This window comes from Homo sapiens, chromosome 4 (genome assembly GCF_000001405.40).
Source record: "Homo sapiens chromosome 4, GRCh38.p14 Primary Assembly".
NCBI classification, from domain to species: domain Eukaryota; kingdom Metazoa; phylum Chordata; class Mammalia; order Primates; family Hominidae; genus Homo; species Homo sapiens.
The window spans coordinates 105,997,407-106,023,652 of NC_000004.12; the positions used below are offsets into that span (position 1 = coordinate 105,997,407).

At 39.9% G+C, this 26,246-nt stretch overlaps 1 long non-coding RNA gene across 1 annotated transcript, besides 1 other annotated feature; it reads right to left on the reverse strand.

Moving 5' to 3' along the window:
* Positions 976-1,759: an enhancer, noted in NCBI's record as "OCT4-NANOG hESC enhancer chr4:106919539-106920322 (GRCh37/hg19 assembly coordinates)". NCBI's record gives its function as "activates a minimal SCP1, AML or CMV promoter by ChIP-STARR-seq in naive and primed H9 embryonic stem cells {active_cell/tissue: H9 hESC(naive and primed)}" and the evidence as "EXISTENCE:reporter gene assay evidence [ECO:0000049][PMID:30033119]".
* Positions 5,911-25,072, reverse strand: LOC101929577 (uncharacterized). The gene is made up of 4 exons (NR_125928.1): positions 22,403-25,072; positions 21,263-21,353; positions 16,782-16,906; positions 5,911-6,550 (listed from the first exon to the last, which is right to left on the reverse strand). It is a non-coding gene; the product is annotated as an uncharacterized LOC101929577 (long non-coding RNA).
* Positions 25,073-26,246: the final 1,174 nt, after the last annotated feature.

Here is a 26,246-nt window from a genome sequence, read left to right on the forward strand (position 1 = left end):
GAAATTTAAGCAAGAAGGAAAAGAGCCAGTCCTGTTTTGAATCAATCTTTCCAAAGAAGTGGCTGAGCACTAACCCTGTGCTTCACCTGACTAAACCTTCTGGAGACAGAAGTGGACATGACCTTGGGGAGACAAACCAAATGTATTTGAAGAGATGGAAGTTCGCAATTAAGTGTCAATTGTGCGTAGCACAGACTGTTAAGTGCTGAAAGAATTTAGAGGACAGAGATATCTAAGAGGGTGGAAAGAGATCAGTGAAGATATATGAAAGATAAAGGACTTGAGAGGGTTCTTAAAAGAAGGATTTGGAGGCCGGGCGCGGTGGCTCACGCCTGTAATCCCAGCACTTTGGGAAGCTGAGGCGGGCGGATCATGAGGTCAGGAAATCCGAGACCATCCTGGCTAACACGGTGAAACCCCGTCTCTACTAAAAATACAAAAAAAAATTAGCCGGGTGCTGTGGCGGGCTCCTGTAGTCCCAGCTACTTGGGAGGCTGAGGCAGGAGAATGGCGTGAACCCGGGAGGCGGAGCTTGCAGTGAGCTGAGATCGCGCCACTGCACTCCAGCCTGGGGGACAGAGCGAGACTCCGTCTCAAAAAAAAAAAAAAAAAAGAAGGATTTGGAAAGTGAACGAGTATGTGTTTTGGGGGGGTGGGGGAGGGCGGGGAGGAAAGAGGCTCAGGAAGTGAAGGCAAAATCTAATGTTCAAAGCTGTATTCCGCTTTAGCTTCTGGTCAGTAAGCCTGCCTGCCACTACTGTATCTTTAAAGGTTTTTGCTGCTGTGGAAAATCACCACTCACTGGGATCAGAATATTATCCTCCTGTTAAGCCTTGGTTTCAAAGAGGGTGCACATTTCCTGCATGGCAAGACAACACCATCACCACTGGTAACATAACCCTGCACGTTAGGGAGCTGGTAAATAAATAAACCTTTACATTCCAGATCAATCCATCCAGCCTCTGACAATGACTTATGGCTTGTACTGCAAGGTTAAAAATTAGTCAAGGGTGCCGTTCAAAGTCAGCTCATACCCTGGGATTTCTGGAGGAAAAGGGCATCTGCCATGAGCCTGGTCTGTGAACATAACTTAAACGAGTTATCTTGGACCTGAAGCACTAGAAAGACTGGGGAGAAACCACATGAATACGATGCCTTCAAAACACCGCAAATGCCCTCATGCTGATAAGGCGGAAGAAACACCATCCACAATCATTTTCAGAGTTAACACAAGCAAACAGAGAGGTCCTCAAGGACTCATCATTTCAGTTTATATTCTAAGATAACTGTACCCAGGAGTAACCATTCCAGCTTTCTAAAGCTTTATAGCTTTTTATATTCTTTCATTGATATCAATTCTATGACCCTGAGGGGTAGACCTCATTTCCATTTTAACATGAACAAAACAGATGTCAGAAAAGAAATTTCTTATTCAAAGTTGCACAGCTGGAAGTTTAAGTACCCACTTAGATAATGATTTAAGAACAAAACAAAGAATGCACCTGCATAACTGTGTAAAAGATGCTGTTTGTAATGACAACATTTTGTCCCACTCTGAGGCTTCCTGAAATACATTATGGTACATTCAAACAATGGAATAATCTGCAGCTCTTAAGATCTATTTTGAGGAATCGTATCTGTTAACATAAAAAGATATTTATGTTACATTGCTTAGTTAGAAAAGCAGTTACCAAACCGAATATAGGGTACGAATCTCTGTTTGAAAATAAAAAGTATTTGCATAGCAAAAAACCATTAATATATATATTAATATATATACATACACAATATGTATACACATACATACATACACGAAAGGACTATTAGTAATGTGGAATTGTGAATGTTTTTGTGCTTACGTGCTTTTGTTTTTGTGCGTCTTCAAATTTTTCTGGTTTGAGATTTTGCTTTTGAAATAAGGACTACAAATCAAAATAAAAAAGCAAGCAAGAAAAAGACAAACCTTACAGAAAAAGTTAAGAGTTTACCTGTGCTAAAATGTTCGCTCCACTTATTTGTCTCAGTGTCTGGAATTTCTACCATTATCACTTTATGTATGAAAACCATTTCAAAAGACAAGAGTTCCTGGGAGAGTGCCACAAATTACTACTCTTACATCCCGTGGCTTAGAAACTCAGACCAGTCGCCTCCCATCTAGAAAAGCCTAGAGCACGGCCTTGCTGGAAATTCAGGTTGGCACCACAAAGCAGGAGCTGCTCTCCGGGGAGGACAGAACTTCCTAGGTGGGGTCTGAGAAGCACTGGATCTTAGAAGGAAGCAAAAGGAGATGGGAAAGGGAAGCAGAAATAACAATCTGGTGTTACTTAGTGCCTGCTCTAGGAAAGTGAATACAAAGCAGTACGCATCCACAGAGACTCGCAGAAAGCTCAACAATTGGTCCGAGCTCAGAGTGGCAGTGTTAATGGAGTTTGGAGTACATGAAAACATCTCTTTAGCCTTCTGGTGAAGTCAAATCCTGGATCCAGGTCTGGAAGTATTCAGCGTATACTGGGGGAAATTAAACTCTGTGAGGAAGTGGACAGTGTCAAGTTGGAGGCTGGAGTGTGTAGGAGCCACTAAGCCCTTGGGGAATCAACCTGAATTAAGGAGTAATCTGAGTTTGGGTCTTATTATTTGACATAATACTTTCTGTTGTTTAAACTAGTCAAGGTTTTTTGTTACTGGCAACAAAAGCATCCTAAGGGATCCAACCACATTTAATGAGCACACATGTGTGCCAGGCAATGTGTTAAGGCTTTATGTGTATTGCTTCATTCGATCCTCACACAACCCCAAGACATACATCATTGTCATACCTGGTTGGAAAACAAGGAGCGAAAGCTTACAGAGGTTTAGAAACTTGCCCGGGTTGCACAACCCTGGAGGAATAGGTGTGCATTTGTGTGAACATAGACCATCTGACTCCAGGGCCCCAATCTAATACTCACAGTGGTTCCATTTGTTTCCTAATTTAATATTAGGTAATATGTGCCATTGCTCAGTTGATGTTTTTTATCCATGAGTTATTAGTAGATGAAAAGAAAGAATTTGAGGGTAGTTCTACCCACAATTCCAAAGAACATTCTCTGCTCCATTGACACTGGTTTCCTTTGCAAAAGCCAAACTCTGTACAACTAATTTGTCCAGAGAGGAATGCTGTGGGGTGGAGCGGGTAGCAGGAGATGAGTGGGGAACAGCCTAAGACGTTCAGCTCCTTGCTTTGGACTTAACAGGAGATCTAAGGCAAGGTATTAAATCCCCTGAGCCTCAGTTTCCTCATCTGTAAAGGGGTAGCAGGAGAGACATTTCTCACAGACCTAGTGTGTGGATTGAGATAGACACAGTATATAAAGCATGAGAGTGGTGCCTAGCCTATGACAGATCCTAAAAGAAGGCAGCTACTGGGAAACAGGCTACTGTGCGGATGAGGAACACAGGCTTGGGAGTTCAGGCTTACCAGGATTCCAATCTTGCCTTAATTTCCTACTTTGTCTCTAAAATCAGGATAATCATTCATTTATTCAACATTTTTTTGCCTCCATTCTAGCCCATATGCTGAAATAATGTTGAGTTAAAACTACAAACAGATAAGTCTCTATTATCTTGAAAATTACAATCTAATAGGGAAACAGAGATGAAAAAGGAGATTACAATGTGGTGTGTTATGTTCTAAGACAGAGGAAGCATGGGCTTTCATGAGAATGCTTGGGAGTTAGATTCAACCTGGGTTTGGTGTGTCACAGGAGGCTCCCTGGAGGAAGAGATCCTCAAGGTGAGTGCTAAGCCCTAAGTAGGAGTGAGCTAAGTTGCAGTGGGCATGGAGAAAGGGGGAAGGGAAGAGCATTTCAGGTCTCAGGCTGTTGGGAAGGTTAAATGCGACAATGTATGGAATCGCTTAATATAGTGCCCAGCAATTTATGTGTGCACCATAAATAGCAGTGATTTCCTTATTTTAGAACATTTGAAATACATGTGTTTTTCTATTTGCTTGTCCAGCTTCAGAATGAATGTTCTCCATTAACTATCAAGTGGTTTTCTGAGTCTCACCAGCATTACTTAACATATGATCATCTAAAGAACCACAGTTGTGTTCTAACTTATATTTTTGAGCAGCAAAGAGGATGCTATTCTTGCATTCTCTACAAATGGTAAGTGGCCAGCAGGGCACTGCTTTACTAAGTGGAGGCAGTAAAGGTTGGCTGTTTACTGAGCCTGCCAAACACACTCATAGATCCTTTCCAGCAGTCTCATTACTTTTTAGTTCAGCTCTAAGGAAGGGAAAACCTAACACTTCTTAATAGTTAAGCACTTAGACCACCTTCATCTTGCAGACAAAGACTCATGGTGCTCTGTCTTCCTTCTGTTTCCTTGGCAAGTAGCCTGTATGTACCTTGACGTATCTTTATGATGCTTCAGAATAATTTCTCAGTGAGCCTGATTCTCCACACCCACCAGCTCATTTGGGGAAGACAATATTCAGTTTTGGAAACCACATGTTAAGACAGATATGGAAAAAGTGAAGTATGTGCACAGGAGAAGGTTTCAGACTGTGAAGAGGCTTGGATCCATGCTAAATGAAACCAACCTACTGGCCACTTTGTCACTTGTGCAGAAGTGGGCAACAGTGTTAAGGGAGTTGTCTGCTCTGCTAGGTTGTGAGGAGAGGGCATATGGTAAAGATATCATACTAAGCTTCATAATTGTATTTCATTAAAAGTTGAGGTGGAAACTTTTATAAAAATCAAGTCTGAAATGTAGAAGACTTAGAAAACACTATAGGTGGGAATGTAGAGCAAAGGCATTTTCATGCACTGTTGGTGGAATTGTAAACTGGTACCACTACTTTGGAAAATAAATTGTCTGGTATACGTGATGATATATGCCCTCTGTGCATTCCTGCAATTCCCCTTCTAGAGAATTTCATGCCCTAGGGAAACAAACACACATGTGCCCAAGAATATATGTACAAGAAGGTTTATAGCAGCATGGCTCATAATTATGCAATGTCTGAACCAACCCACTGTCCACCAAAAGTAGAATGAATAAATAAATTGTGCTATGTCCATACAACAGAATGCTATATAGCAATGAGAAAAAATACATTGTAGTTACAGGAAACGTGGATTTTATAACTATAATGTACATATGAAGCAAGTTCAAAATAATATGGTATGATTGCATTTATGTAGAGTTCAAAACTTAGTCAAACTAAATTATGATTTTTAGGGATGCATGCATAGGTGGTGAAACTAATGAAAAGCAAGGAAGTAGTTATAATAAAAATCAGGATAGTGGGAAGGGAGGATGCTATAATTGGTAAGAGACATACTGGAAACTTCTGGGGTTTGGCAATGTTCTATTGCTTGACCTGGCAGATGTTATGTGGGTGTTTGTTTTATAATTTGTTAATTGTACATTTATATTTAATTCACTTTTCTGTATGTTATATTTCATCAAAAGTAAAAAAAATTAAGTGACCCTTTGAACAAATGGTAGCCTGTAGAGCAAATCATTAATAAAATTATTCTCTAATGGACTTCTAGTGAGAAAGCTTTTCCCCATGAGTCTCTGTTAGGTGCCTAATTTATCTCTAAATTCAAGACCTTTGGACACAATTGGTTTTGCTATAACCAGGAAAGGCTCTTTCCAGATACATCAGATATCTGGCTCTAACTCCCTGAAAAAGAATGTTGAAAAATGCTAGAGGGAAGATTTTTCCTCTTTGATAACCTGTTGCTTGTGAATGAGCTAACTGGTGCGATCTGGTATAGACTAGAAAGCCAGTGTATTTCTGAAATCAGGGTACTTATTTCTAGAGAAACGTGGAAACATTAACCAGATCCCCAGGGAAAGGCTTCCTGACAGACTGTTTTTGCTTCTTAGTTGTACAGATTAGACATAAAATGAGATGTGCCTTGAGTTTTTTATTCAACATTTCAAAATATAAAAACAAAATGAAAAACTTAAGTAAATGAACAATAAGGTGACGGTCTTTCACAGTATAAAGTGTAACTTTTTTGTTGCTCTCATTATGACCCCATGCCTTCATTACTCTAAGTGGACAGAAATTTTCAGACACAGGTTACTGTACACAGGATGATTCCATTTGGAAATTTAGGCCAAAGAGCAGAGAGAATAATCTTTCAAAGGTACATATATATAGATCTGTATCTTATGTTGTAAAACACACGTTTATATACAAATTTCATATTTATAAGTACAAAAGACAAAGAATGCAAATGAATAATTAATCTATAGTCAATATAGATAATACTGTTGTCCCTGTTCTGTTTTCTAATTTTACAAGACAATTGTAGCTGTCTGCATGCAGGTGGACTTGACTTGTAGCAACTGGAGACAAGGTGTAGTTCTCCATGTGTCTGAGATTCCAGAACTAGACTCAATTGTGGTTCCAGATCAAATCAGCCTGCAGAGAATGGCTGTTCCCTGGTGCACATGGAGTTGAGCGGAGCAGCACACTTGGGCACAGGGGTTGGCCGTCAGCTCACTGTCCTGCTGCCACCCTCCACCACCTCAGAGGCTGCTGTAACTTTGAGAAAATAACCTTTGAACCTCAGTCTCTACAATGCTTAAATAAAGAGAACATTCAATTAGAGAAAATAATTTTAGCAGTTAAATGTTCCATTTTTCCAAAGTGCTATATATAGATTTGACTCACACTGGTTTACACATTTCCTAGGAAGAAAACAAACAAATCTGTATGTTATACTCGTGCCCTCTTAAAATGTATACGTTGAAGCCCTAACCCCAAATGTGACTGTGTTTGGAGATAGGGCTTGTACAGAGATAATTAAGGTTAAATGAGGTCATAAGAGTGGGATCCTAATCTGACAGGATTAGTGTCCTTATAAGAAGAAGAGGAGCTCTAACCAGAGCTTCCGCATCCCACCGCTTTGACCCCACAGAAGAAAGGCCATGTGAGGACAGAGGGAGAAGGTTGCATCTGCCAGCCAAAAAGAAAGGCCTCTCCAGACACCAAGCACTATGATTTTCCAGCACCTTGATTTTGGACTTCCTGCCTCCCGAACTATAAGAAAATTAATTTTTGTTGTTTCAGCTACTCAGCCTATGGTATTTTGTTAGGACAGCCTTAGTGGACTAATACACTGTGCCATCTTCTTAAAGAAGCTACCGTATTACACATTGTATTTTTTGATGCTCATGTCCCAGTCACTATACAGGGTTTATTTCTTTAAGTTAAATGATGCTAATCACTTAATTCAGTCAACAAATAAGATAACTCACTCTGTGTCAAAAATTATTCTAGCTAGTGGCGATATGGCAGTGCATAACACAATATCCCTGCCCTTAGGAAATTTATATTCTGGTGGAGAAGAGTAAAGCACAGATGAGAAGACTTTAGTGACCCCTAAGCCAGCAGTATTTCACACTAGAGATTTTAAACTTCTTTCCTTCAGTTAAAGGAACAAATCAATGAAAGTCTTTATGAACACATTAACCAAGAACATATTCTACAGGAAGAAATCCCTGGTCTTCCCTTTTTAAAAATTGCCAAAATTAAACACAAATCTAAGTTAAATGAGATTCGCAATCTATGAAAAGGCTAAATTAAGAACTGGTTTCTTTTTAACCAAGAACTGTCCAAACAAAAACAAAACAAAAAAGGTGCTCTTTCAGCGTGATTATGTAAAATGATTTGTCAGACCAACATTGGGAAGCAATCCAGCCCTTGCACACAAATGCCTAGCTACATGGCAAAGCACTCAGAGTCATCACCTTCACACCATAAAATCACTCTACAAAAGGAGCTGAGTGTGTCAGATATTACATGATCCATAGTAGCATCCTGCAGAATGTCACAGTCAGAATTCTATCAGTCTCCCAGTCTTTGAAATACTGAGGCACGAAAACAAAACCCACAAGTATTGCCTTAGGTATAGAATCAAGAGAAAGCTATTGAGCTATAATTGAGCAATTGATAATGTGCCTCATGGCAGGATAGGATGGAAAATACAATTTTAGCAGTGAGCATTGCTGAGAATTGTTAAAAACAAAAAAACAAAAAACAAAAACAAACAAACAAAAAAAACTTTCCAGAAATCCCAATAGAATTCCTTACATAAAGAGAGAAGGTAGGATTTTAAACCAAATGTAGACCGATTTTCATATCTGAGATTAGTTTGAATATGGAAATTTCCATGTCAAAGTCATGATTTTCAAAGTCTTCCAGACCAAGAGACCAGTGATAGGCATGTGATCCACATTTAATTGGTTAGTGTTAAGACTCTGCCCAGTAAAGCAACTAGGCTAGTCATTTGCCTATTTGCGTTTACTCTCAGATCTAGTGTCTTTTCTCTTTCTCTGTTCTCAGTAACATGGGACTGACCTTTGCAAACTACATATTCTGAGCTTTCTAGGCAGCCTGGGCTTCTGGGCTCTAGTAACAACTCTTTTTCCTTTGAGTCTCTTCAGCCCTAGGCAAGATATTGGCTCTCTGGATTGCCTTATTGTCCCTTGCTGTTTGCCTTTTCGGGTCTTCCCACAGGTCCATAATTAATTGTCCATATTCAATATACTATATTGTACCATGTGACATGGGTTGTGTGGCTCCTGCTAAGCCTAACTTATATAGTACTTCACGTAAGACAGTGACTTGTATTATACAAGTTGGGACCTCTCTCCTGAGTCTGAACCTGAGATAGAAAATTAGCATAGCAGTAATTGCTGAGGCAGAGAATAGAAGAGCATTAGAAGATCCCCAGAAGTTCAGATCTGCATTGTCTCCTGAATGGCAATTGTGTTCTCTGTGACTTTCAATTTTGCAATTTCCACTTTGTTCTAAAAGATATTGAGGTTTTCCTTAAAGCAGCCAATGTGGGAGTTATGACCATTTCCTGCCTCGCTTACTTCTCTTCATATCTTTACAATATATTCAAGTGTGTCTCAGCTCTACATAACCTGAAATAGCCTATTACCAAACCTGAATGAAAGAAGTCAAGGCGGTAAATCTGGAAACTGCTCTAAAGACACAAATGCTGCAAATGCACGTGACTTACATGTCCTCAGGCCTTAATGAAGGTGTGCAGGCAATTTAAATTTATTGAGATTGTTGACATAGTAGAACTTCTATCTACCATTTTGTTATATTTGTTTTCTATTTTTCTCATTTGTTCTTTGCTTCCCTTTCTCTTATCTGCCTTCTTTTAGATTGATTGCATTTTTTAAATTATTCCATTTTATCTCCTTTGGTGGCTTCTTAGCTCTGTGGTTTTTATTGTCATATAGGTTTTTGTTGTTGGTTTTGTTTTAGTGTTTGCTTTAGGTTTTAAACCATATAACTTTAATTTATCATAACCTAGCTTCAAGTAACATATTCCTTCATGTATAATTTCTCTTTCTCTGCCTTTGTGCTATTGTCATAATTTAATGCTTACATGTTATATACCTCTCAATACATTGTTATCTTTCATTTAAACAGTCAACCGATATTTATTTATTTACTTATTTATTTATTTTTGAGATGGAGTCTTGCTCTGTTGCTCAGGCTGGAGTGCAGTGGCACGATCTTGGCTCACTGCAACCTCTGCCTCCTGGGTTCATGCTGTTCTCCTGCCTTGGCCTCCCAAGTAGCTGGGATTACAGGCGAGCACCTCCACTCCTGGTTAATTTTTTTTTTTTTTTTTTTTTTTTTTTTGAGACAGTCTTGCTCTGTTGCCCAGGCTGGAGTGCAGTGGCGCGATCTTGGCTCACCGCAAGCTCCGCCTCCCGGGTTCACACCATTCTCTTGCCTCAGCCTCCCGATTACCTGGGACTACAGGCGCCTGCCACCACGCCTGGCTAATTGTTTGCATTTTTAGTAGAGACGGGGTTTCACTGTGTTAGCCAGGATGGTCTTGATCTCCTGACCTCGTGATCCACCTGCCTCAGCCTCCCAAAGTGCTGGGATTACAGGCGTGAAGCCACCGTGCCCGGCCTTTTTTAAATTTTTTATAGAGACGTGGTTTCGCAATGTGGGCCAGGCTGATCTCCAACTCCTGGCCTCAAGTGATCCACCTGCCTTGGCCTCCCAAAGTGCTGGGATTACAGGCATGAGCCACTGCATCCAGCATATTTATTTATTTTTAATTAATTTCAATGAGTTTTGGGGGAACAGGTGGTGTTTGTTTACATGGATAAGTTCTTTACTGGCGATTTTTGAGGTTTCGGTGCACCCATCCCTGGAGCAGTGTACACTGTATCTAGTATGTAGTATTTTACTCCTCACCTCCCTCCCACCATTCCCTCTGAGTCCCCAAAGTCCATAGTATTATTCTTATGCCTTTGCATCCTCATAGCTTAGCTCCCATATATCATTGAGAACATATGATGTTTGGTTTTCCATTCCTGAGTTACTTCGCTTGGAATAATGGTCTCCAGCTCCATTCAGGTCGCTGCAAAGGCCTTTATTTTGTTCCCTTTTATGGCTGCGTAGTATTCCATGGTGTGTATGTGTATATATACACTATGTATATATACCACATTTGCTTTATCCACTCATTGATTGATGGGCATTTGGGCTGGTTCCATATTTTTGCAGTAGCACATTGTGCTGCTATAAACATGCATGTGCAAGTGTCTTTTTTTGTATGACTTCTTTTCCTTTGTATCGATACGCAGAAGTGGGATTGCTGAATCAAATTGTACATCTACTTTTAGTTCTTTAAGGAATGTCCATACTCTTTTCCATAGTGGTTGTACTAGTTTACGTTCCCACCAGCAGTGTAGTAGTGTTCCCTGTTCCATCCCAACATCTATTATTTTTTGAATTTTTTTATTATGGCCATTCTTGTAGGAGTAAGGTGGTATCACGTTGTGGTTTTGATTTGCATTTCTCTGATCATTAGTGATGTTGAATATTTTTTCATTTGTTTGTTGTCCATTTGTATATCTTCTTTTGAGAATTATCTATTCATGCCCTTAGACCACTTTTTGATGGGATTGTTTGCTTTTCTCTTGCTGATTAGTTTGAGATCCTTGTAGATTCTAGATATTCATCCTTTGTCAGATATACAGATTGTGAAGATTTTCTCCCCCTCTATGGGGTGTCTGTTAACTCTGCCGATTATTTCTTTTGTGGTGCAGAAGCTTTTTAGTTTAATTAAGTCCCATCTATTTATCTTTGTTTTTCTTGCATTTGCTTTTGGGTTCTTGGTCATGAAGTCTTTGCCTAAGCCAATATCTAGAAGGATTTTTCCAATGTTATCTTCTAGAACTTTTATGATTTCAGGTCTTAGATTTAAGTCTTTGATCCATCTTGAGTTGATTTTTGTATAAGGTGAGAGATGAGGATCCAGTTTCATTCTTCTACATATGGCTTGCCGATTGTTCCAGCACCATTTGTTGAATAGGTGTCCTTTTCCCACTTTACATCTTATTTGTTTTGTCAGAAGATCAGTTGACTGTAAGTATTTGGCTTTATTTGTAGGTTCTGTATTCTGTTCCACTGGTTTGTGTGCCTATTTTTATACCAGTCCTGTACTGTTTTGGTGACTATGGCCTTACAATATAGTTTGAAGTTGGGTAATGTGATGCCTTTAGATTTGTTCTTTTTGCTTAGTCTTGCTTTGGATATGTGGGCTCCTTTTTGTTCCATACAATTTTGGGATTTTTTTTTTAGTTCTGTGAAGAATTATGGTGGTATTTTGATGGAATTGCATTGAATTTGTATATTGCTTTTGGCAGTATGGTATTTTCACAATATTGATTCTATCCATCTATGAGCATAGGGTATGTTTCCATTTGTTTGTGTCATCTATGATTTCTTTCAGCAATATTTTGTAGTTTTCCTTGTAGATGTCTTTCACCTCCTTGGTTAGGTATATTCCTAAATATTTTAAGGTTTTTGTAGCTATTGTAAGAGATGTTGAGTTCCTGATTTGATTCTCAGCTTGGTCATGGTTGGTGTATAGCAGGGCTACTGATTTGTGTACATTAATTTTGTATCTTGAAATTTGACTGAATTGATTTAACTGTTCTAGGATCTTTTTAGAGGAGTCTTTAGGGTTTTCTAGGTATATGATCATATCATCAGTAAACAGAGACAGTTTGACTTTCTCTTTACTGATTTGGGTGCCCTTTACTTCTTTCTCTTGTCTAATTGCTCTGGCTAGGACTTCCAGTACAATGTTGAATAGAAGTGGTGAAAGTGGGTATCCTTGTCTTTTTCCAGCTCTCAAGGGGAATGCTTTCAACTTGTCCCTGTTACATATAATGCTGGTTGTGGGTTTGTTATAGATAGCTTTTATTACCTTAAGGTATGTCCCTTCGAATTTGTTTTTGCTGAGGGTTTTAATCATAAAGGGATGCTGGACTTTATAAAATGTTTTTTCTGCATCTATTGAGATGATCACATTGTACTTATTTTTAATTCTGTTTATGTAATGTATCACATGTATTGACTTGCATATGTTAACCTATCCCTGCTTCCCTGGTATGAAACCCACTTGATCATGGTGGATTATCTCTTTGATATGCTATTGGATTCAGTTAGCTAGTATTGTGTTGAGGATTTTTGCATCTATGTTCATCAGAGATATCAGTCTGTAGTTTACTTTTTTTGTTATGTCCTTTCCTTGTTTTGGTATTAGGGCTTCATAGAATGATTTAAGGAGGATTTCCTCCTTCCCTATCTTTTGGAATAGTGTCAATATAATTGGTACCAGGTTTTTTTGAATGTCTGATAGACTTCATGTGGGAATCCATCTGTTCCTGGACTCTTTTTTGTTGGCAATTTTTGAATTACCATTTCAATCTCACTGATTGTTATTGGTCTGTTCAGAGTTTCTATTTCTTCCTGGTTTAATCTAGGAGGGTTGTATATTTCCAGGAATTTATCTATCTCCTCTAGGTTTTCTAGTTTGTGTGTGTAAAGGTGTTCACAGTAGCCTTGAATGATCTTTTGTATTTCTGTGGTATCGGTTGTAATACTTTCTGTTTCATTTCTAATTGAACTTATTTATATCTCTCTTCTTTTCTTGGTTAATCTCGCTAATGGTGGATCAGTGTTTATCTTTAAAAAAACCAGCTTTTTGTTTCATTTATCTTTTGTATGTTTTTTTTGTTGTTGTTTCCATTTCATTTAGTTCTGCTCTGATCACTGTAATTTCTTTTCTTCTGCTAGGTTTGGGTTTTGTTTGTTCTTGTTTCTCTAGTTCCTTGAGGTGTGACCTTAGATTGTCTATTTGTGCTCTTCAGCTTTTTTGATGTAGGCATTTTAAGCTATGGACTTTCCTCTTAGCACTGCTTTTGCTGTATCCCAGAAGTTTTGATAGGTTGTGTCACTATTATCATTTAGTTCAAATAATTTTTTAATTTCCATCTTGCTTTCATTGTTGACCCAGCATTGAGGCCATTTACATTCAACATTAGTATTGAGATGTGAGATACTATTCTAGTCATCATGCTAGTTGTTGCCTGAATATCTTGTGGTTTTTTTTTTCATTGTGTTATTGTTTTATAGGCCCTGTTAGATTTATGTTTTCAGGGGGTTCTATTTTGGTGTATCTCGAGGTTTCGTTTCAAGTTTTACAACTCCTTTTAGCAGTTTCTGTAGTGCTGGCTTGGTAGTGGTGAATTCTCTCAGCACTTTTTTTTGTCCAGAAAAGACTTTCCCTCTTTCATTTATAAAGCTTAGTTTTGCTGGTTACAAAATTCTTGACTGATAATTGTCTTGTTTAAGGAAGCTAAAAATAAAACTCCAATCCCTTCTGGCTTGTGGGGTTTCTGCTGAGAAATCTACTGTTAATCTGATAGGTTTTCCCTTATAGGTTACCTGATGCTTTTACCTCACAACTCTTAAGATTCTTTCCTTCCTCTTGACTTTGGATAACCTGAAGACTATGTACCTAGGTTATAAACTTTTTGCAATGCATTTCCCAGGTGTTCTTTGAGCTTCTTGTATTTGGATGTCTAGCCCTTTAGCAAAGCCAGGGAAGTTTTCCTCAATTATTCCCTTAAATATGTTTTCTAAACTTTTAGATTTCTCTTCTTCTTTGGGAACACAAGTTATTCTTAGGTTTGGTTGTTTAACATAATCCCATACTTCTTGGAGGCTTTGTTCATTTTTTTTAAAAAAATATTTTTTCTTTGTCTTTGTCGGGTTAATTTGAAAGCCTTGTCTTTGAGTTCTGAAGTTCTTCCTTCTACTTGTTTGCTTCTATTGTTGAAACTTTCTAGTGTATTTTACATTTCTCTAAGTGTGTCTTTCATCTCCAGAAGTTGTGGTTGTTTTTTATTTATGCTATTTTTCTGGATAATTTTTTGTCCATATCCTGTACTTTTTACAAAATTTCTTTAAGTTAGTTTCTACCTTTCTCTGTTGCCTCTTTGAGTAGCTTAATAATTGACCTCTGAATTCTTTTTCTGGCATTTTAGAGATTTCTTCTTGGTTTGGATCCATTGCTTGTGAGCTACTGTGATCTTTTGGGGGAGTTAAATAACCTTGTTTTGTCATATTACCAGAATTGTTTTTCTGGTTCCTTCTCATTTGGGTAGACTATGTCAGAGGAAAGATTGGGGCTTAATGGCTGCTGTTCAGATTCTTTTGTCCCACAGCATGCTCTGTTGGTGTGGTGCTCTTCCCTTTCTCTAGGGATGGAGCTTCCTGAGAGTCAGACTACAGTGATTGTTATTGCTCTTCTGGGTTTAGCCACCCATCAGAGCTACCAGGCTCCAGGAGGATACTGGGGAGTGTCTGCAAAGAGTCCTGGGATGTAATCCATCTTCAGGTCTTGCAGTCATGGACACCAGCACTTGCTCTGGAAGAGACAGCTTTACAGTCCACAGTAAAGTGGACTCTGTGAGGGTCCTTGGTTGTAGTTGTGTTTAGTGCACTGGTTTTCTTGAATGCTGTTAAACAGTCAACCAACTTTTCAAAGAGGTGTGTTTTTATTTTTTATTTTTTTATTTTTTGAGACAGAGTCTCTCTCTATTGCCAAGCTGGAGTGCTGTGGCACAGTCTTGGCTCACTGCAGCCTCCGACTCCCTGGTTCAAGTGATTCTCCTGCCTCAGCCTCCTGAGTAGCTGGGATTACAGGCACATGCCACCACACCAAGCTAATTCTTGTATTTTTGGTAGAGACAGGGTTTCACCATATTGGCCAGGATGGTCTCCATCTCTTGACCTTGTGATCTGCCCGCCTTGACTTCCCAAAGTGCTGGAATTACAGGCGGGAGCCACTGCACCTGGCCAAGATATTTTTTTTTTTTTTTTTTTTTTTTTTTTTTGAGACGGAGTCTCGCTCTGTCGCCCAGGCTGGAGTGCAGTGGCGGGATCTCGGCTCACTGCAAGCTCCGCCTCCCAGGTTCACGCCATTCTCCTGCCTCAGCCTCCCGAGTAGCTGGGACTACAGGCGCCCGCCACTACGCCCGGCTAATTTTTTGTATTTTTAGTAGAGACGGGGTTTCACCGTTTTAGCCGGGATGGTCTCGATCTCCTGACCTCGTGATCCGCCCGCCTCGGCCTCCCAAAGTGCTGGGATTACAGGCGTGAGCCACCGCGCCCGGCCAAGAGATTTTTTAAATAAGGAAAAAGTATTTTATATTTTACCCATGAGTTTATTATCTAGTACTCTTTATTCTGTTACATAGATCCACATTTCCATATGGCATTATTTTCCTTTTGCCTGCAATCCTCTAATATTTATTGTAGAGCAGATCTGCTGCTAATGATTTCTTTTAGGATTTATAAATTTAAAAAGTCTTTATTTTCCCTCTGTTTTGGGAAGATCTAGTCACTGGATATAGTATTCTACTTGAAAGGATTTTTTTTTCCTTTCAATACTTTAAAGAAAATGTTTCAATGCCTTTGAGCTTCCATTGTTTCTAAAGAGAAATCTACCATCATCCCTCTCTTTGGCTATCTGTACATAATGTGTCTTTTTTTCTTTGGCTGCTTCTAAGGTTTTCTCTTTCCCAATTGTATCAATCAATTTGATTCTAATGTGCCTTAGTGTAGTTTTCTTTATGTTCTTTGTGTTTTCAGTTTGTTGAGTGTCTTGGATCTATCAGTTTATGCTTTTTGTCAAATTTGTTTCTTTTCTCAACTATTTTTTCTGTCCACCCTCACCCCCCAAACTTGTACCCTTCTGAGCCAACTCCAGTTGCATGTATATTAAGGTTCTTGAGGTTGTTGTTATTGTTCATTTTGTTTGGTCTTTTTTCTTACCTTGTTTTGTTTTAGATAGTTTCTATTATTGTCTTCAAGTTTATTGATCTTTTACTCTACAGTGTCTAGTCTGTTTTTATATGTTATATGTTTCATATTAAGTATTGTATTCATCATTTCCAAAGTTAGATATCTTTCATATCTCTCCTACTTGTGCTCATGCTTTCCCTTACTCTGTGAACACATAAAATATAGTATTAACTATTTTAATTTCCTCATGTGCTAATTCTATCATCTATATAATTTCTGGGTCAGTTTCAAGTCACTGATTTTTCTCCTCATTATGAGTTTTAATTCTGATTTTTTGCATGCCTTGTAATTTTTGATTGGATGACAAACAGTGTAGATTTTACCTTTTTATGAGTGCTGGATATTTCATATTTCTTTATATGTTTTTGAACTTGTTCTAGGACCTTGTTAAGTTATTTTAAAAGAGTCTGTTTCCTAGTGCCACTATAACAAATTACCACAAACTGAATGGCTTAAAACAACAGAAATATATTTTCTCACAGCCATTGAGGCCAAAAATCTAAAATCAAGATGTTAGCAGAGCCACATTTCCTCCAAAGGAAATGGCAGATAATCCAGTACTTACCTCTTCCAGCTTCTGGTGGCTTTTTCGGCACTCTTGGACTTGAGGTCACTGCACTTTAATCTCTGCCTCTGTTTTCACATCATCTTTTCCTCTGAGTGTTTGTGTTATCTCCCTTTGCCTCTATCCTGGAAGGACACTTATAATTCCATTAAGGGTCTACCCAGATAATCCAGGGTAATCTCTTCATCTCAAAATCCTCAACTTAATTACATCTACAAATACCTCTTTCCCAAATAAATTCTCATTTACAAGTTCAGGGATTATAACTTGATATCTTTGGTGACCATAATTATAAGATGTAAGTATAAATTAGTTCTCTGTTATTCTAATTTGGCTAGAAGAAAAAGTCTGGGGGGGAAGTATAAAGGAACAAGTAAAATATGTATGGAGTGAACCAGGAAGAAACCCTGAGGATTTCATTCACCAGTTCAATTTGTTAAAAATGTTTACTGAACACCTAATATGTGATGGGGGCATAGAAAAAAAAATACCCTTGTCCTCGTAGAGCTAACATTCTAATGAGAGGAGACTAATAACAAAGCAAACAAGTCAAACACATAATCTTCACATAGTGATGAGGGCTATGGGAAAAAAATAAAGGAAGCAAGCAAGAGATATGAAATGGACTCCAGAGATGGTGAATAGGGTATAATTATAAATAGAGTGGACAGGGAAGTTCTGATTGGAAATGGAGTATTTGAGTAAAGATCTGAAATAAAGTGAGAAACTGAGGCATGCACATATCTGAGGAAGATGTTTCAGGTAGATGGAACAGTATGTACAAGAGCCTGAGTTAGGAATATACTTGGTGAGTTTGGAGAAAGTGGCTAGAAACCCAGCATCAGCTAGAGCAGAATGAGCCATACTGGGGGGTATGTCAGAGGGTGCAGATCAAATAGGACATTGAAAGCTGTATGTAATGACTTTGGCTTTCACTTGAGTAAGATGGAAAGCCATTTAGAAGGCCATGATATGATTAAGCTTTAAAGGGATTTCTTTGAGTGTGGTGTTGGGAAGAGATTGGGAACAGAGTATGGAAGCAGAAAGATCTGTTAGGACAGAATTATTCAGTGACAGAATTATTGAGTGACAGAATAATGGTGGCTTAAATTAGGATGGCAGTGAAGGTGTGAGATGGCTTTAGATTCTGCTGAAAGTTGAGCCAACAGGACTTGTTGGTGGATTACATGTAGGGTATGAGAGAAAGAGAGGCATTCAGAAGAAATCTAATGTTTTAGGCCTGAGCAGCAGAGGGATGAAGTTGCTATTAGTTGAGATGGGGAGGACTGTGGTCTAAAAAGGAAGAGCAGAAGTTTCTTTTTGAATATTTAAGTGTGAGGTGCCAATTATACATCCAATTGAGATGTTAAAGAGATCATTGGATATACTGAGTCTGGCATTTAGAGGAGAGGTCTGGTTTGGGCATATAGATTCAAGAGTCAACTGACAGCAAATGGAAGGGAACAGAATTATTATGTTTAGGAACCTATTAAAATTAGGAAGGGTTAGGTATCTTCAAGCCTCTTCTCTTTTAACTTAAGGGGTTATATGGAAAATGTTTCTAAGCATATAGTGTCCTACCTGTTCAATGTTCATTGACAAAACAAATTAAAATATAGAACACAGAAAAGTATAGAATAGAATTGAGGTACAAGAAGTGCAATAGTTGATGAGAGAATGTCTGGAATTTAACATAAACTAGATAATTAAATTCTCACAAGATAGGTATCACTGCCCCCATTTTATGGATAGGGAAACTGGCTTTTACAGAGGTCAAACAGCATGCCCAAACTCACAAAGTCAGTGAGTCGTAGAGCTGGGATTCAAATCCAGCAGATCTAACTCTGAAGTCCAGGTCCTTCCTATGACTCTACAAGGCCTTCCAGCCAAACAGTTTAATGGTAGAAATCATGGCATATTTGGGGCTCAGGGCTCACTTCTTTACTTATGAGGTTAAGCTTTCTGCTACAGGAAATGATCTAGACTAGTTTCTACAAAATGGGGCCAGGAAAGTCGTAATTATAAATATTCATTATTTGAGAACTATTTCCATTATTGGGCTGAAAGCAAAGGATTTGTATATCTTACCCCTTGGTTACATGAGATCATGAATAAACAAAATATAATTAAGATTGATTATAAAGATAAACATAGAAAGAGAACCCAGCTCATTACTTAACTTTACTGCTATTGATACCAGGCCAGAAAACTTTTCAATTGAGGAACACCATGTTAGCCAATTTTAAATTAAAGTCTCTCAAACATGAAAACCCCACCTACCCCACCTCCCCCACCTCTGTCACTGTGCCATGCCAGATTGGCAAGTCCATTTGTAAGGGAAGCAAAGTATCCTGGTGAACAGGCCACCTTGCCAGGAGGCACCTGCAGACCTTATCAACAATGAGCCTACTTATTCTTACTGTCCTTTCTTTTTAGATCCTCTATAAAAGGTATGGCTGTTTATCACCTATTGCAGTACCTCAGAATCAAATGTCAGTGATATCAATACATGGGGATAAGAGAGCTCATTCAAGGTGAAATGGAAGATACCACTTGGTTTGTTTATCATGCAGTACAAGGGGAGGAAAGAAGGGGAAACAGGGAAGATGGAGCAATGTCCCTCACAAAAGGAGATGGGTGAGCTGTGCCAACAGCCTTTCCTTTCCAGAACACCAAAGGAGCCATTGTTACTAACTTTGTATTTTGGTTTTGACAGGAGACACCTGATCCTAGTTTAGGGATTTATTTCCATGGCAGGACTAAAGCAGTCTGACCTGACATAAAGGGACCTGGAACACACACATGTCCTACCAGTCACATGGTTGGGAGATGGTGTAGGTTGCATCTGCAGGGGGTCTTTGCTGCTTACGACAACTCTGGGGTCTTCAGGTTCATACCTGAAGTTTGTGAACTCTACAGTGAACGTGGCTCACTTGCTCTCTCCCTCTGGCTCCATTTCATTGAGTTACTTTTCCAGCATTAAGGACTCCTCACCAAATGACTGAAAGGCAGATGACAGGAAGGAGATTTTTTTTGCTTTGGGTTCTCTGACAGGTCTTGTGAACAGGGCTCTAAGCAGATGCTGGCATTAGAAAATATTTGTGTTCTCTGACTTTCCTGATACCTGGTATAGGAAATTCAGTGAGGAAAGATAGCAGGCAAGACAAGGCTTGTATTACATGATCCAGTGGCACAAAGCCACAGGAGACAAGAAATAGTGGGCACTGAAACACTGACAAGAATTTTACATCCTTGTCTCACTGCGTCTGATCTCTTGATGCCCTGGGAGATGTGAAACACTTACAAAGAGCCAGTATTGACTAAAGCCTGGAGATTTCACTTTGAAACGGATAGTGTCTGGGGTGAATTAATACAGCACATGATTTCCCCCACAAGTTAATTTTCTGGAAAAACTTTCTGAAGAATGAAATGCCCAGATACTCAGTAGCTTAAAAGTAATGAGAGTTAAGCTGACATCGTGAGAAGGAGATAGCTCCATAGAGGAGCTGACATTTAGTGTGGGCTCCAGCCATGCCCAGCCAAATAAGCAGTATTTTCTGGCAGCCCCAGTGAGAGTCATCACCAGTTCTTTTGTTTAACAAAATCCAAGAGTGCAATTAACAATTTCTATGACTTGGCCTTCAGAGCCTTCAAGTTACAAGAGGATAAACAAGTAGGAAAGAAAAGGGAGACGCCAATGTTTCAGAAATTATGATCTTCAAAGGAGGAGAAATAGTTCAACCACAAGGAGAGTGGTCAGAAATTTGATATCCTTTCTGTGAGAGCACAAGGAGACCCCAAACTGCCAAACCACTGTATCTGAGGAGGCGTTGCTGGGACTGAAGTTTCCAGAAATCTTTGAATGGCTCATTTATTTTACTGGGGCTAAAGTTGACGGGGTAATTATCAGGGCAGGCTGTGGATTTGATTGCTGTTCGGGCAAGTAGGCTTTCATTGTCAGCCAGGAAGCACTTGGGAATTACTTACTGCAGTGTGCCATGCAGACCTGTGCGTATGAGTGTGCATACATACTGTGTGTATGTGTGTGTGTGAGAGAGAGAGAGAGTGAAAGAGAAAGCTGAGGAGTAAGGATGGTCTATCTCTCTTTGCTTTTAAATCCAATTTTTCTCTCTTTGGTGTATATGCCAGAGTCAGCAGAGAGAGGTGAAGTTTTCGGTGTGCTAAACCCTACAGTAAGGATGAATTTCTATTTCACCTGTAACTCAAGCTTCCCCAGTCTAACAGGATTATATTAATGGGAATAGCCAAAATATCAGAGCCCCCACCCCTGCACACCCCCCACCCCTTACCACCAATGCATGGCCCAGAAGCTCCAGCTCCATCAAAGTCTCACCCAGTGTTGGATACTCTCTAGTGGGATCTCGTGTGACCTCAGGAACAGTTCTTTTATGCTCTCCTGATAAGGGTTTCATAGCTGGGGATCAAGATGCCATCTGAGGGTGGCTGTGCACTCACCTCACCTCTGCATGGCTTCAGTGGTATTCTTGAGAGTCTAAATGTCCATGCCAAGGAATGGAGGGGTCACCTTTTTCTAGTGGCCACATCAGCAACCTGCAGGGTACCAAGGAACAGCTGTACTTTCTGGAGTTCTCACCAGGCTGAAGCAACACTGTTTCCCCTATTCCGTCACATTTGCCTCCTGGGTAGCCATGATCATGCTGCTAGGTCATGCAAAACCCTGTGAGAACATATCCTCCACCTTCTGCCTGTAGCTCCTTCTTTCTATGCAGTGCAGATAAAAAATTAAGGTAGGAGGATCCACATTCTACACCAGTGGTTCTCAAACTTCAGCATGCATTAGAGTCACCTGAAGGTTTCATTAAAACACTGATTTCTGGGTGTTATCCAGGCTTTTTGATTTAGTAACTCTGGGGTGGGGTTTAAGATTTTACATTTCGAAATAATCCCCAGATGATGCTGGTACTACTGCTCTAGGGACCATATTTTGAGAACCACTGTTCTGGACAAGCACTATGCTGCCCCAGGGCCTCTGATCCACCAGTTGTCTGGGAGGTCCTGCCCCTCAACAGAGACACACCCAGTCACGTGCATCTTCACAGAGGGCCCCATTTATGTTCAATCTGGTACCTCCATTGCCATCATAGATGAAAACACATTGACTCTCCCATGTTATGCGTTTAAAGCAGAGATTTGCTGTTTGCATTCAGGCAATGTAGGTTTTGACTCCAGAACTTCACACTTGCACGTTCCTTAGGTATGAATTACTGACCAACACCATTCTGGGGGTAGAGGTGGGGGGTCCCTTAAATGCTGAAGAATGATCATTTGTGTGGTCTTCTCCCTCTTACTGCAAAAATTATTATATTTGGTGGTAGAAAATTCTTTCTTTGGTGCACTAGTAAAGCAACTGATGGGTAGGAGGCCTGGAGGATAAGAGGGGCTGTAAAGCAAGGGAGAAAAAATGGGAGAGAAGGGGACAAAATGGATGCCTTCCCATGTTGAGTCTTTGAGGAGTAGTCCTTGAACTACAGTTTTATAATGGATTAAATGGGCCTTGAGGAAGGGGCCTTCCGGGAAGTCTAGACTATGTCGAACATTTCTGTGGGAAATGTGTTATGAGAAGACACAAGCTAACTTACCCACCAACTGGAACTCAACTTGTTGCAAATTGGAGGTTACAGGAAATGTGCTAAAGGTCTTTTGCCACAGATGAACATTCTTTTGCTCTGATAGTGTGTATCATCAGTCATGCTAAGGGTGAAGCACAAATGAGATCTGGCATCTGCTAGGCTGCTGAATTATTGCTGTTATTGTTGGGTTTCCTGTATCTTTCCCATGAAATTACAGTGATCATCACTATGGCATCTGCTGGGCCTGAGATGGGTCAGAGCTAAAAATAGGATGGAGAATTCAGGCTCCTGGAGACAGTTCATGCACTGTGTGAGCTTTGAACCTTTGGTTTGCCCCAACTTTTGAGTTTGGCTTGAGGTGGCTCTTGGTAATAATGGGACAGAGCTCTGAGGAAAGGCAGTGTATGAAAGTGGAATCTCCAGATTTCATAAACTCCAGGGACCTTCAAGCTAATTGCATTCGACTCCACCCTTCTGCTGATGAGAAACTGAGGCCTAGAGAGTCATAGTAACCACAGCAGGAGTGTGGCCATGTGGGATTAGTTTGGGGCTCCAGAAATAGTTTCCTCAAACCTGCCTCCTACGGTGTGTTCCCTGGACCACTGGTGTCTGGGACAGTTAGCAGGTGCTAGATGAAATGGTTTGGGAAATACCAGGTTAAGTATTAAATGTAAGGGCAGGACCTGCTTAAGCTTTCCTAGGAGATATGTACAGTATTACGAATCTCTAAGAGGAGTTAAGGTAGGCTGTCTCTTTTTTCCTACTGAGCACTTCATGGAAGTACTCCGTGGAACCCATTTTGGGAAATTCTACATTATGCCCGTAGGTCTTAAAGTCTCCCGGCTGAATTGATACCCTTAAGATAGGTTTTCTTGAGGTTCTGAGGGGAACAATGTGTACTGGGAGTAAGGTTGTCAAGTAAAATACAGGGTGTTCCAGCTAAATTCAAATTTCAGTTAAATCAATTTTTTTTCTTTTTTTTTTTAGTGTAGGTCTCATGCAAGATTTGGGACTTACTTAAACGATTATTCATAGTTTAATCTGAAATTCAAATTTAACCAGGAATTCTCGAATTTTATTGCTAAATCTGGCATTCCTAAGTGGAGATTAGAGCAGAAAGAGAGAAAACTAAGAGCTGTTAAGACAGGCAGGCCGGGCCTTGGCCTCAGGAAGGAAGGGGCCACCCTCAAGGCTCTGTGCCAAGGAGAGAGCCCAGGTGTTTCTAGCCCACTTAGACCAGAGGCTTCAAATAAGACGGGCTACTGGCTTCAGTCTGGAAATCTGTGGGGCAATTTTTGTTGTGACAGTGATTGGGAGGTTCTACTGGCACTTAATGGACAGCAATGCCATATGTCCTGTAATATGTGAGACAGTCCAGTTTCCCACTCCACATTCTTTGTGTGTCCTACCTGACATTCTTAAATGTGCTTTCTTACTTCCCTTAAATGCAAGCCTATTCACGATATGAAAGTGCTAGCTCCTGACAACTTCTTTAAGTCTCCTGGGATGCTCATACTCCAGTATTTACATGTTAAATTATATGTCATTTTATGCTGACTTACTTTCCTTTTATTTATCCTCTTTCCTATTGTTAAAGCAATGTGTTTGTGTGTGTTCAATTATTTACAATTATTTATACCTATAGGCAATAGTGTCTGTGATTTTCATTTTAGGAGAGTAAAATAGGTATTATAAAATGTTCATAATAAAAATGAACACTTGTTTGGTAGAAATAAGAAGTATCGACTGAGCCACATTGTTTTTCTTGACTATAAGTCAAGAAAACCCTGAGTTCTGCTCTCTTCTTCTTCGTTAAGTATATCGTTCAAATTAGGTTTGGCTGCATTTAATGGAAAAACAAAATGAGATTGATAAATAAAAATAAAATCCTAAATGCCATACCAACTGACTGGATCCTTCCCCACTTGGCCAAGGGGACCCCAGAAAAACCTTAAAAACTGGCCATGATGGTACAGAAGGTTGGACATGCCTTGTTATACCCCCTCCCTCATTAACCACTATTAGGCTTTCTTTCTTAAGCATTAAACAAAAACCAGCCCTTTGGAAGGACTTGTTCCACTGCTAAATTCAACCAACCTCCCTTTTGTGGTTTTGACACAACAAATGATCAGCATTCTTTCCTGATAAGAGACCGCCAACCACAAAGTGGTTCTGGCCATCTATGGATGCTGTGCAGAGGGCCTTTGTGTGCTCTGTTTCACCCTTGGATGTATAGGGCCTAATTGTAATACATTTAAACATTAGGTTTCCACCCCAAAGTGAACATGGGACACATGTTGTATTCATGTTAGTCCTCTACACATGCCCATGCCTCCCCTTTGTGAATATTCATAGCTCCTCCTATAACTGTCAAATATATATATTTGGCCACCCTGCTCAGCGTATATCTCTGTCTTATTCTTCCCACTCTCAAGAGCCTATTTCTGGCTTCTGACTGGAGGTGACGCTTGCCAGCTTATCAGAATGGCTGCCTGCAGGCTGCAACGCTTTATGAGAAATAAAGCTCTCCTTTCCAAATTTGTAACTTCGTTGTTCTTCAGTTGACAAGAAAAAGCAGTGGCTTCAACAATACAGCAGGTTATTTTTGTTGCATGTAAGAGAAGTTAAGAGGTAGGCTGTCCTGTGTTGGGAGGCCACTTCCTTCCAGGTCTCTGTTCTGCCATCCTCAAGATGGCTGTTTGGAGGTCTTGGACATGTTCGACACTCATTTTTGGAAGCCAGCCTCCATTCTGAGGAGGCAAAGCAGCCACATGAAGAGGCCCACAAGAAGGGAACCAAGGGCCCTAGCCAACAGTCTCAACTGAGCTCCCAGCCAGTGGCTGCATCCAAAGCCAGCCTGGTAAGTGAGGCTATTTCGGCCATCACCTTCCAGCACCCAAGCTGTCACTATGTGACACCAGAGAACTGTCTGGTGGATACACAGAAATGTGATAAATGATAGGTCATTGTTCTTTTAAGCCTCTAAGTTCCCCCTTCCCCTACCACTACCACCCCACAGGTAGGGGGGATTGTTATACAGCAATTGATAACCCAAACAACATTTGTTTATTCATTCATGTGAACTCATGTGCTAAGCACTATTCCAGATGCTGAGGATTCAGGAGTGAAAAGGTAGAAAAAATCCCTGCCCTCAAGAAGTTTACCATCTCGCTAGCTCCTTCTTTTATTCCTCTAGAGGCTACAAATCATTTTTCTCTTCAAGCCACCACCCCTACTTCTTGTTTTATGGGGAAGTTGGAGACCATTAGAATTGAATTTTTCCAACTTCTTTCTCCCACACACATTTCCCTGGATCTACACTGTCTCCTCTCCTCCACTGCAGCTCACGGCAGGGCCAGAACCAGCCCATCCCCTCTTTTCTGCTATCCAGCTACCAGACTCTGGATCCTATTCTTCCTTTCATGTGCCTTTAACTTCTGTTCCATGAGACCAACTCTTTCATAATTTAAACAGATTCATCTCTACAGTCCTAAAAACTAGCACAATAAAAAGCTCCTCTTTAACCTTATCTTCACAATGTACCTTTTGCTCTTTCTCTTTTAGCCGTCACAGCCAAGTTTCTACAGATTGGAGTCTTCTCATTCTTTCTCTGTTTTCTCATTTCCAGTTCACTAGTATATAATGGTCATGGAAGGTCTCTGTGGGAAGTGACATTTAAGCTGGTATAATAACAATTTCTTGATTCTTCATATTGCTGGAACTTTCAGCAGCATTTGCATTCCTAACCATTCTTTCCTTCCTCAACTAAACTCTAGGGTAATCTCTTGGTTCTCTTCCTACATCTCCAACCCATGTATCTCTTTTTCTTATCTTTCTGGCCATTCTCCATCAG